This window comes from Homo sapiens, chromosome 10, assembly GCF_000001405.40.
Source record: "Homo sapiens chromosome 10, GRCh38.p14 Primary Assembly".
Taxonomy (NCBI): domain Eukaryota; kingdom Metazoa; phylum Chordata; class Mammalia; order Primates; family Hominidae; genus Homo; species Homo sapiens.
In genome coordinates, this window is record NC_000010.11 from 45981754 (window position 1) to 45994752 (window position 12999).

General features: G+C 39.7%; 1 protein-coding gene and 1 non-coding gene across 4 annotated transcripts in view; both read left to right on the plus strand.

Moving 5' to 3' along the window:
• Window positions 1-12999, plus strand: part of TIMM23 (translocase of inner mitochondrial membrane 23) — a 31254-nt gene that overhangs the window by 9265 nt on the left and 8990 nt on the right. For all 3 annotated transcript variants that reach the window (NR_073029.2, NR_073030.2, NM_006327.4), the window contains 4 exons: window positions 770-863; window positions 1093-1177; window positions 3630-3688; window positions 6984-7094. Coding sequence is in view for 1 of the 3 variants with exons in the window: in NM_006327.4 (NP_006318.1) it covers window positions 770-863; window positions 1093-1177; window positions 3630-3688; window positions 6984-7094 (349 nt within the window). In the remaining 2 variants the exon portion in view is untranslated. The remainder of the gene's footprint in view (window positions 1-769; window positions 864-1092; window positions 1178-3629; window positions 3689-6983; window positions 7095-12999) is intronic.
• On the plus strand, window positions 2855-3058 carry SNORA74C-1 (small nucleolar RNA, H/ACA box 74C-1). The gene has a single exon (NR_145721.1). It is a non-coding gene; the product is annotated as a small nucleolar RNA, H/ACA box 74C-1 (small nucleolar RNA).

Consider the following 12999-nt stretch of genomic DNA (forward strand, 5'->3'; position numbering starts at 1 on the left):
CATCTTTGGTTGGAAAGCTTGCCAAAAATGAGTGTGATTTTATTTTTTTAATCCAACATGGTGATAAAATTTTGTTTGTTTTTTTGAGTGTGTTTTTCATAAAGGTGCATTGACTCTTCAAAATTGGTAACCATATTTTGCTCTTAAGAGTGTCATTTCTCAGTCTTAGTATTTTGGATGACCTTCCAGGGGTTCATGCCACATTTTGTGTATGCAATTACTAGAAATAGGGTCTATAGCTTTCTGAGAGTATCAAAGGAATATATACTCCTTAAACAGATAAGAATTATTAAAGGGGGTCATTTGCCCTTGCATAATTGATCCAAACTGTTGTACTTTATTAGTTTTTGCTCATGTTTGTGAACATTTGGCTTTATACATAGAAAAATGCACAATAAATAGCTGCTACAGAATGAAAGTTATTTGTTTCTTCCAGACTGATTGTCTGTTCTGTTCTTCTCATAGCTTTCAGTGTTCCTTTCTCTAGAGCTGTCCTTTCTAAACACTTTTGCACAAATCTATCAGATTTACGTTTTGAAGGAAACAAAGTCTTTAATGAGACTCCCTTCTAAGAACTATGTTTCGTATTTCATTTCACTTTGATTTAGGTGTTACTGCTGCAGAAAGTTTTATTTTTGTTTAAGTATAGGTTTGAGTTAATTTAAGGTTTATTTTCTGTGAAAAACTACTTTGAAATGTTAAAAAGGCAACTTTACAAGATTTGTGTCTTGAGGGACACTCAGCTTGGTTTTCATTATTATCCTTTTAGGATACAGATGAGTTTATTTTACCTACCGGAGCTAATAAAACCCGGGGCAGATTTGAGCTGGCCTTCTTTACGATTGGAGGATGTTGCATGACAGGTGAGTGTTACATACTTTTTTCTCAAGAGTGCTCAGTTCAAGTAGTTGAGGGTGCGTAAAATCAAAAGCAATTAGAATGTTGGTTTCAGGGTTTTTTTTTTAATATTTACATTTGTCTTTTTCTATTAAATAAAAATGAAAAAGAATCAGAAGTGTAGTTATGCAGATTTGAGTTTGTTTTTTTAATATAAAGCTGTCTTTATCTGGGTGAATTGTTATGATTTACCAGGGGCTGCGTTTGGTGCAATGAATGGTCTTCGGCTAGGATTGAAGGAAACCCAGAACATGGCCTGGTCCAAACCAAGAAATGTACAGTAAGTCTCTTGTAACCATCTGATGTAGTGATACTTGAATATTAAGCTCTGTTGTATTGGTTTGATGAGTACAACCTTGAGATTACAGATGGTTAGCATAGTTATGTGCTTTTTTGTCTTTGTTTTTTAATCTTAATCAAAATAAAAGCAACTAAGGAATCAGATTACTGACTCTAAGCTTTTAAAAAGGAGTGATTTTTTTAATCAGTGTCCCTCAGTCAGCTAGTGCTATGCCAGCCTGACTTCTCAGCTGCACCTGTTACATTCTCCAACCCTATGTGACTTGCTTTTCAAATTGTTGAGTTGCTAATGGGAATTTTGGATTGTTTGGGGGCATGCAGATCCATAGGAAATGGTAATGAAGAATAAGCAGCTCATGAGAGTGATGGCTCAAGCTGCCATCATTTAACTTGAAGTTCTTACTGTCTTGACTTTATGTTTCCGAAATGATGAGCCAGATACATTTTAAATAAAATTTTTAGAATTAGAGTTAATTCCAAAAGGATAAGACACAGTTTTCTGTTAGAACTTGAAGTTACAGAGAAGGGAAAGTACAGTTAAAAGGATCGGAAAGTATGTTTTCACCCAACTTAAGAAGTAAACATGGCCAGTCCCTCTTGATATTCCTTAAACAATATGTTTAGTTTTGCCCATTTTTATGCTTCATGTAAGTGGAATCATGAGTATGTATTCTTCGATGGCTACTGTTTTGTTTTAGGACACTTTAAACTCCATCTTCCTTTCATATTGTTCAGCCAGCAGATGGCACCAGATGTGCTAGAATTAGACCATGGGAAACTGGAAGGCCTGTTAAATTGTGTGGTTTTTTGAGAGACAGGGCCTTGCTGTGTTGCCTGAGCTGGAGTGCAATGGCGCCATCACAGCTCACTGTAGCCTTGACCTCCTGGGCTCAAGTGATCCTCCCACCTCAGCCTCCCGAGTAGCTGGGACTACAGGCACATGCCACCATGCCCAGTTAATTTTTTAATTTTTTGTAGAGACGGGGTCTCACTGTATTGCTCAGGCTGTTCTCAAACTCCTGAGCTCAGGTGATCCTCTTGCCTCAGCCTTCCAAACTGCTGGGATTACAGATGTGAGCCACTGCGCCTAGCCCTGTTAAGTTTTTTATATTCCTGTTACTGTGTGGATCTCTGTCCATGCTTTACCAGCCTAGATCCTTCAATATTTTTATTACTTGTCCCTCGCTTCAATAATATTTTTAAGTTTTTGTATTATGGGGAATTTTGAATATATAAAAGTAGACAAAATACATAGCATAGTGAACACATGAACCATAACGCATCCTCAACAACCATCAACCATGGCCAGTTCTATCCCATTTCCTTCTCCTCTCCCATCTTATTTTGAGACAAAAACCCCAATATCATATTAAATACAAATTTGGAAGTAGATCTCCTAGAAAAGACAACTTGCTTCCTTTCTTAAAACAAGTTATTAAAATGCTTGTTAAAAATGAAAAAATGATGGCTGAACTTAAAATATGTTAGTAAATATGTAACATAATTAGAAACAATATACTTCTGTTTGTAAACATTACTGATTTTTTAAAACAATCTTTTAGAAAATACAAATTTTTGTTTCTGTAGAACATTAATTGAGTCGTTTAATAATTAAACTGAATGAGTTCCTTCACTCTTTGTTACTGTATTTCCATAATTTCCAGCAGTAGTCAGCTGTCTGGACAGAACCATTCCTGGGATCATGTTACACTGCTGGGAGAAGAATGTCTTCTCTTCATCCAGTTGCGTCCATCACTGTTCTGGTGGTGTCTGGCACTGGTGCAAGGCAGAACTGTGCTTCCTTGAGAGTGTGCTGAGCATTCACCTTGGCTGCTTGGTTCTAGTCTAGGAGCAGACACAGGGTGCTTTCCCCATGTATTCTAGTTAGATGGCTGATTCCTTCTCTTTAATTCTACTTTATATTCTGTACTTTGATATTCTTTACTTTATATTCTGTACTTTGATATTCTTTACTTTGATTATCTTTAACATTCTAAGCATATGTTCCCCTCCCAAAAAGAACCTTTTAGAAGCTAGCTCGCCATAGTTAACAGTGGCATTTTTTACATAGATTAGTTTCTGTAAACCTCTGTAAGATACATTCCAGGCTGTCATTCAAAGCCTTATATATATTTAATGTGTATTCATTATATTATACATTTAATAATAAGAGTTTTCCTTATTATTATTATTAAGGACTTATATAAAAGTCCTTAAGACTTTTGCCTAAAGTTTTGAAAGTTTTAACCTAATTTTCACTTATGTAGAGTAAAAACCATCCTTATTGAAATCGGAGATATTAAGATGTATTTTAGAATTTAAAAAACTTTGCGCCCTGGGTCTAGACATGTTAAATAGCCATTATTGTTTTTAAAGGTTACTAGAGAAATAATGATTCTAAATACAGATTCTTTCTCTTTCTGCCCTGATAGGATTTTGAATATGGTGACTAGGCAAGGGGCACTTTGGGCTAATACTCTAGGTTCTCTGGGTAAGTAGAGATCTCATTTGATAATAAATTGTTAAAGAAAGAATGCACAAATATCATGAACAATTTGATCAACCCATATTCTGGTCCTAGGATATGAGACAATTATGTTTAAACCCATTCCAATGCATAATGTAGATACTACTTAGGGAAAGACCATGAACTAACTTATGAAATAATCTCAGGTGCTAATACCGTTCTGAATACCATTGCTGAATTTTTAAAATCTTTTGGACACTGCACACTCTCCTTTCCAAGCACAACACCCAATAAAATCATGTTTAAATGAAATCCAGGTAATTTAGGTCCAAAGTAAAGAGCTTTGTATGTTAGGCAAGGTTCAAGGTCCTGTAGTGATACATGATAAATTAATCCAGCCCTCTTGCTATGTTTTCTTAATAGCCGGTTCATTAGTCTGTTTACCTGAGTAGATTTCAGGCACCTAATTGCCACAATTGGAATAGGTTCCTTGTAGATAATGAAAACGTTTGCAGTTCTAGGCAAAAGGTAACTTAGTAGTGCTTAGTCAGAGCCTTATGCTTTCATACCATATTGTTTATGAATGATTGATCACTTACAATAGATCTCTTATGGCTTATGTCCTGACATCCAAAATTTTCCTACTGTATGAACTTAGTTGAAAATCTCAATTTAAATTGTGGCAGATTAAGGAGGGGAAGACATAGAAAACTCATTGAAAACATAGAAAAAGCGTTTGTTATGGCAGGGTAAGGTCCTGCCTTGTCACAGAATTTGGAAGCAGTACATCTTCACACTGTAAAGCTAGTTTTCACACTTTGGATCCTAAGAGATGGCTGCTTTCATATGTTGCTGATGTCTGCATTCCTCCCACCCTCCTACAGAGTCACCCCGCTCTGTTTCTTTTAATTGCTTGTATACCTAGAGTAGTCAGCTGTCCTTGTCTGCGTAGGACTGTCAGAGAAAAGTCCAAGAAACTATGTTCCAATAATCACCCCCCGCCCACCCCGCCCCACAGTCCTGGACAAACTAGAATGGCTGGTCACCCTCTGTGTACCCATTGTGGTATGATCAAGAAGGGTGTTCTGCTCGTGATCAGTTTCAGTTAAATAAGTTGAAGAGGAAGATGAGCTTTCATAGAAGTATAAAAATACTGCAGTAGAGGAGTTGTAAGGCTGAGCGCGGTGTATTGTTGCAAGGGGCAAGTGTAGCTATAATTTTGAGAAAGAGTTTAAAAGTTTAACATTCGTTCCAGATAGGAATCTGCAAGAGCATAGAAGGATGGCTTGGGGGAAGATACTTTAAAATGAAATGGTGCTAGTGTTATAATACGTGAGAATCAAACCTCACTTTTTTTTTAATCTATTTTTTCTTATACTAGAAATACGTGTGTGTGTGTGTGTGTGTATGTGTGTGTCTTTAATCTGAAGTATAGCAATTATGGGTAGCATATAAATGAAAATTTTAAATATTCTTCCTGAGACTTCCTAGCGGTACTTTCTAGAAATAGCTACTATTGATGTTTCTTCTGAATTCTTCCAGGCGTTTCTCTGCATAGCCAGTCAGTCGTGTACCATGTGCACATGTCCCTGATTTACTTATTAGTGAAAATGATTCTTCTGGTTTTTAAGTGACTGTATAGTATTCCATTATATGAAAAGTCCCTCTCTGGATCAATTCAGATGGTACAAATGCTCTTGATGGGCATTTTATTTGTTGCCAGGTGTTTGCTATTAGAAACTGTTCTAGTGATCATTCCATGTATATCTTTGGATAAATTTTTCTAAATATAATTGCCATACTGACTTTTGTGTTGAAAAAAAAAAAACAGTTTTTCCTCTGCTCTCACACTACAACAGTCAACATAGGATAGTTCTGTGACCAGTTATGTGGGAATATTTCCCCACATACCAAGTAATCTCTCTTGCAGTGGACACCAGTTGGGTGTCCACCTGTTTCACTTCTGCCTGGAGATAGCATTAGATCAGCAGGTTGAGCACTCTGTCCCACAAAACTGAGCCCCACTTTGGATACTTCTGATGCTGATAGCAAGCTCCAGGTTATTTTACCTGTGCTTCTGACCAACCAGCTTTGTCAGGGTTTCCCACAACCCACTCTTTGGGTTTGATTAATTTATTGGATTGGCTCACAGAACTCGAGGGAACACATACTTAACATTTGCGTATTTATTATAAAGATTTTTTTTTTTTTTTTTTTTTTTTTGAGACAGGGTCTTGCTCTGTCACCCATGCTAGAGTGCAGTGGAGCTCACTGCAACCTAGACTTCTGGGCTTAAGCAAGCCTCCCACCTCAGCCTTTCAAGGAGCTGGGACTACAGGCAACATGCACCACCATACCAACTAATTTTTTTTTAAATTTTTTTAGAGAAGGGGGTATCCCTATGTTGTTGCCCAAACTGGTCTCTGACTCCTGGGCTCATGTGATCTTCCCACCTCGGCCTCCCAAAGTGCTGGGATTACAGAAACTTTGTGAGCCACCACACCTGGCTGGATATTTTTAAAGGATACAAATAGCCCAGTCAAGGAATACATAAGGTGAGGCCTGGATGGGCCCTGAGTGCAGGAGCTTTCATTTCACTGGAGTTGGGGTGCACTAGCCTCCTGACACGTGGGTGAGTTCTTTCTCACTTTCCTGCAAGTCCCATGAGTTCAGCTGTCCAGAAAGTCCTCCGACCCCATCCACTTGGGCCTCATGTGGAAAATTGATTGGATAGGCATGACTGAAGCATGGACAACCTTATAGAACTGTGATTGGACAAAAAGGGCATGCTCTACTACTAATAGACTGGGCACAGAAACCCAGCAAGGCCTGCCTGCCCAGATTCTCCCTTGGCCTTTCTGTGCAGCATTTCTTCTTCCTGGGTATGGGGTACGATCTTTTCTGAAATGGGGGTCTTACAGCCTGCAATCAGACAAGGTAGGTCATAGAATTTCTTTATGGCCAGTTCCAAGACAGAAAGGTGTGGGGAAAGATTAGAGTCCTGCTGTGGGGAGAAAAGGGAGTAGGTGAAAGGAGGGCAGGAGAAGGTCAGAGAGAGAGATTCTGTTTCTGAGGCTGCTTCTGAGGCCTGAAGTGCCCCAGTAATACAACAAAAGACCTTCACCTTTGTCCCTCTGAAGCTGTTCCAAAGCTGATTCCAGAACCAAGGACAAATACCTTAACAAGTGATTGTTTTAGTCACTTAGGAAGGGCTATGGGAGTTATGAGCTAGGAACCATGGATGAAAACCAATATATGTATATCATAATATCACACTTTATCACTGTTTTGTCACTGAGCACTTCCATTTCCTCTTTAGCTTTGCTCTATAGTGCATTTGGTGTCATCATTGAGAAAACACGAGGTGCAGAAGATGACCTTAACACAGTAGCAGCTGGAACCATGACAGGCATGTTGTATAAATGTACAGGTGAGTACTGTTGAATGGGGAGCCATCTCTTAATACACTTGAAGTGCGCTTTTTAAAATTCATGGTTTTCAAGGAAATTACACTCTGTTGCAGTATAATCTAGTGTTCTAACTTTATGGTTATTTTGGTTTGGTTTGGTTTTTAATTGTGGTAAAATAAACATAAGATTTACCCATCTTAACCATTTTTAAGTATACAGTACATTAGTATTATAGTCACATGATTATATAACCAATCTCTGGAACTTTTTCATCTTGCAAAACTGATACTCTGTACCTATTAAGCCTCCCAATTTACCACTTCCTTAGCTCTTGATAATGTTACACTTTCTGTCTCTGAATTGGCTGCTTTAGGCACCTCATATAAGTAGAATCATACAATATTTGTCCTTTTTTGATTGGCTTATTTTACGTAGCATAATATCCTCAAGGTTCATCCATGTTGTTGCATGTGCCAGAATTCCCTTCCTTTTTAAAGCTAAATAATATTCATTCTGTGTATGTATACCACATTTTGCATGTGCGTTCTTTTATCAAGGAATATTTGGGTTGCTTCTACCTTTTGGCTATTGTGAATAATGCTGCTACGAATATGGATGTACAAATATCTCTTCAAGGTCCTTCTTTCTTTTTTTGGATATATGTGCAGAAGTGGAATTCTTGGATCATATGGTTTATGGTGGTTTTTTGACATTAAGAATATAAGATTCTTTTCTGTATTTTTCATTCATTTTAGTTTAGTTTTTTTAATCTTGGACAGACTAAGCAATAGAATATTCAGAATTGTTGGTTTTGTTTTAAACAATAGTTTGACCTGTGACATCAGCATATTAAACTATCACAAGACACACACAAGGTCAAAGCCCAGGAATGGCTTCCCTGTAAGTCAATTTAGAGCATCTTATTCCTATGATCATCTTACTCTACTGGGAGATCAACGTGTTGCTGTCAAGGGTCAGATAATTCTCTTCTGTGATAAGTTTTACTAGTTTAGAAGCATACATTCAAGTAATGCCTAATTTAGCTTTTTTATTGTGTTGATACATCTTTGGCTACTTAATTTTTATTTTTATCAAAATAATCCACATACGTGATTTTTTAAGTCAAGGTTTTTATCTTAACATCTAAAAGATTTTAATGATGTTTAATCCACATACATGATTTTTTAAGTCAAGGTTTTTATCTTTTTAACATCTAAAAGATTTTAGTGATGTGCAACAGTGTTCTATACGTCTCACCTTAATTCCCTTTTCCCAAAGGCAACTTTTAATTTTTTTTTTTTTTTTTTTCTTTTTTGAGACGGAGTCTAGGTGTCACCCAGGCTGGAGTGCAGTGGCATGATCTCAGCTCACTGCAACCTCCACCTCCTGGGATCAAGCAGTTCTCCCATCTCAGCTTCCTGAGTAGCTGGGACTGGAGGCACATACCATCACATCTGGCTAATTCTTGTATTTTTAGTAGAGACAGGGTTTCACCATATTGGTCAGGCTGGTCTCAAACTCCTGACCTCAGGTGTTCCACCCTCCTCAGCCTCCCAAGTGCTAGGATTACAGGCGTGAGCCACCACTCCCAGCTTATTTTAATTTTTTTTTTAAGACAGAGTCTCACTCTGTCATCCAGGCTGGAGTGCAGTGGCACAATCAAGGCTCACTGTAGCCTTGACCTCCTGGGCTCAGGTGATCCATCTCAGCCTCCTGAGTAGCTGGGACTACAGGCACACGCCTCCACACCCAGCTAATTATTTTTTTTTTTCTTTATCGGAGATGGGGTCTCACTGTGTTGCCCAAGCTGGTCTTGAACTCCTGGGCTCAAGCAGTCATCCTGCCTCAGCCTCCCAAAGTGCTAGGATTGCAGATGTGAGCTACCATGCCTAGGCTGCTTTAATTCATTATTTTTTATTTTCATGTTTTTAAATAATATTATTATCTTGATTTTTCTTGACTTTTCAGTCTTACATATTGTCTGTTGACTTCCAAGAGGAAAGCTGTGTTAACTCCGCTAAGAATTGTACAAAATACGCTTAAAGTAGAAAGGAGGTCACATCCTTTATATAGGTCAGCTCATTTACCATTCTCTGAAGGTAGTAGACTGGTACTCCCTTGTTTTATAGACAAACTAAAATTCAGACAAGTTAAATTACCTCCACATGCTCACACAGCTCTGTCACGGTCTAGTGCATCAAACTCTAGTCTGAGTCCAAAGCCCGTTGTCTTTCTCACCAAACCAAATTACCTCCAGGATAGAGAAATCAGGAAAATTTCTAGAAAAGGGAAAGAAGTAATAAATAACAGTTGAGCCAGACCTTAAGAATGGACTGAATTTTCTGATGTATCTGTTTGATTATACGATACATATAAGGAAGGTGTGGGAGAAAAGTCTGGGAAGATAGTTTAGGCTTATGGCATGGAAAGCTAAAGTAAGAAGCTTAAAATTACATAGAAAGGCAGCATGTCATCAAAGGTTTTTTGGACAGAGGATTAGAATTATCTCTGAGGAAGATTAAGCTAGAAGTGGTGGGTAGATAAAATAGATTGGAGGTAGAAGCCTGAAGTCAAAATGGTCCAGGAAAAGTATTAGTTGAAGAGATGGTGAGGAAAAGGTTGAAATGAAAGATGATTGGGTCAGCTGGGCACGGTGGCTCATGCCTGTAATCCCAGCACTTTGGGAGGCTGAGGCGGGTGGATCCCCTGAGGTCAGGAGTTCAAGACCAGCCTGACCAACATAGAGAAATCCGGTTTCCACTAAAAATACAAAATTAGCCAGGTGTGGTGGCGCATGCCTGAAATCCCAGCTACTCGGGAGGCTGAGGCAGGAGAATTGCTTGAACCTGGGAGGTGGAGGTTGCGGTGAGGCGAGATCACGCCACTGCACTCTAGCCTGGGCAATAAGAGTGAAACTCTGTCTCAAAAAAAAAAAGAAAAGAAAAAAGAAAAAAATGATGATTGGATTACTAGAAGACTGTTTGCTGTTTGGTGGTTTCTTTCTGTTTTGTTATATTGTGGAAGCAATATATGTGACTTTGAATAGCATAGCAGCTAGCTGTCCTGGGCTCCCTCACCACTGCCCCCATCTGTCCCTTACTTGTCTCTTCCAGGCAAGACTAAACTCACTAAAATGTTTCCTTTGTTTTTTTTTTTTGAGTTGGGGTCTTGCTCTGTCACCCAGGCTAAAGTGCAATGGTGCCATCATGGCTCACTACAGCCTTGAACTCCTGGGCTCAAGGGATCCTCTCACCTCAGCCTGCCCAGTGGTTCAGACTACAGGTGCATGCCACCACACCCAGCTAATTTTTTTCATTGTTTCTTTTTTTGTTTAGCAATGGGGTCTTGCTATGTTACCCAGGCTGGCCTCAAGCAATCCTCCCACCTCAGCCTCCTGAGTTGCTGGATTACAGGCGTGAGCCACTGTGCCCAGCTGCCTGAATTGTTTTTGACTCCCCATAGTACTGTGTCCTTTTAGGAGAGTTTTTTTGCCACTGATTCTCAGTTGTTTGGGTGATTGCTTTTCTGTGGGTGGGAGGAATTGTCCTAGATCTCTTTGAGGGTCTTATGAAAGTTTTTGACAGTTTCTAAACCCTGCATTAACATCTCAATATGCGTAGACTCTCCTTAGGAGAATTGTGAAACTTAACTCTTTAGAAGTTTTATAAACACTTGGAGGCTTATGAGTAAATGATTAGAAGGTAGCAATCAAAATCCAATTAAGCTTTTTTTTCCTTTTTTTTTTTTTTTAAACGGAGTTTTGCTCTGTCGCCAGGCTGCAGTGCAGTGGCACAATCTTGGCTCATTACAACCTCCACCTCCCGGGTTCAAGCGATTCTCCTGCCTCAGCTTCCCAAGTAGCTGGGATTACAGATGCCCGCCACCACGCCCAGCTAATTTTTGTATTTTTAGTAGAGTCAGGGTTTCACCATGTTGGCCAGGATGTTCTCGATCCCCTGACCTCATGATCCGCCCACCTCAGCCTCCCAAAGTGCTGGGATTACAGGCATGAACCACCACGCCGGGCCAAGCCAGATTCTTTAAAGTGGCTCTATCTTCTCTGTAATTTGCTCCCTTGCCACTTTGATGACTCCAGATTCTACTCCTATTCCCATTGTCTTTTAACTCCCACTTCAGGGCCTTTGTTCTTGCCGTTACCATTTCCTAGAACAATCCTTCCAGATACCTACCTCAAATGCTGCATCATCTGTCCATCTTTGTTCAGATACCACCTTTTCTTTGAGGCCTTAAACACTGTAGTACATACAGTTTTGCACATACATTTTAGTTGTAGGATAAATTGCTAAAAATTAAGTTACTTGAGCAAATTATCTGCATGCTTAAAACGTGAATGACTACTGCCAAATGACCCTTCTAGTACTTGCTAACGTTTGCCAGTGTGAGCATCTACCATCACTTTTTTTTTTTTTTTTTGGAGACTGAGTTTCACTCTCGTTGGCCAGACTGGAGTGCAATGGCATGATCTCGGCTCACAGCACCCTCTGCCTCCTGCCTCCTGAGTTCGAGCGATTCTCCTGCCTCATCCTCCCGAGTAGCTGGAATTACACGCATGCACCACGATGCCTGGCTAATTTTGTGTATTTTTAGTAGAGACGGGGTTTCTCCATGTTGGTCAGGCTGATCTCGAACTCCCGACCTCAGGTTGCAGTGAGCAGAGATCGCGCCACTGAATTCCAGCCTGGGCGATAGAGCGAGTCTGTCTCAGAATGAAATGATGTGACATGACATGACATGATGAAATGAATAATGAAATGCCGGGTGTGGTGGCACACTCCAGCCTGGGCGATAGAGCAAGTCTCTGTCTCGAAATGAAATGGAATGAAATGAAGAGAATAAATGAAATAAATGAAATGAAATAATAAAATGAATAATGAAATGCCAGGTGAAATGAAATGAAATGATGAAATGAATAATGAAATGCCGGGTGCAGTGGTGCACTCCAGCCTGGGCAATAGAGCAAGTCTCCATCTCGAAATGAAATGAGATGACATGAGATGAAATGGGATGAAATGAAATGAAATAATGAAATGAACAATGAAACACCGGGTGAAATGAAATGAAATGAAGAAATAAATGAAATATTGAAATGAATAATAAAATTCCGGGTGTGGTGGTGCACTCCAGCTTGGGTGATAGAGTGAGACTCCATCTTGAAATGAAATGATGAAGTAATGAAACAAAATTAAATATGAAATGAAAGGAAATACGAAATGCTGGGTGTGGTGGCTCACCTGTAATCCTAGCACTTTGGGAGGCCGAGGCAGGTGGATCACCTGAGGTCAGGAGTTCAAGACCAGCCTGGCCAACATGACGAAACCCCATCTCTACTAAAATACAAAAACCAGCCGGGCATGATAGCGGGTGCCTGTAATCCCAGCTACTTGGGAGGCTGAGAGAGGAGAATCACTTGAACCCAGGAGATGGTGGTTGCCATGAGGCAAGATTGCGCCACTGCACTCCAGCCTGGGCAGCTGAGCGAAACTCTGTCTCAAAAAAATAAAAATAAAAATAAATAAATGAATAAAATAAATTACTCTCTATCTGACAGCTGCTAGTTTTTCCCTCATGATCTTTCTATTAAAATAGCTCTGTACCTACTATGTTGAGCCCTTCCTTTTTTTTTGACAGGGTCTCAGACTAGAGTACAGTGGTGTGATCATGGCTCACTGCCACCTCTGCTTCCTAGGTTCAAGTGATGCTCCCATCTCAGCCTCCCAAGATGCTAGGACTACAGGCACACGCCACCATGCCTGGCTAATTTTTTTGTGTTTTTTGTAGAGACGGGGTTTCACCATGGTGCCCAGGCTAGTCTCAAACTCCTGAGCTCAAGCGATCCACCCTGCCTTGGCCTCCCAAGTATTGGGATTACAGGTGTGAACCACCGCGCCCGGCCCCCTCTTTTTT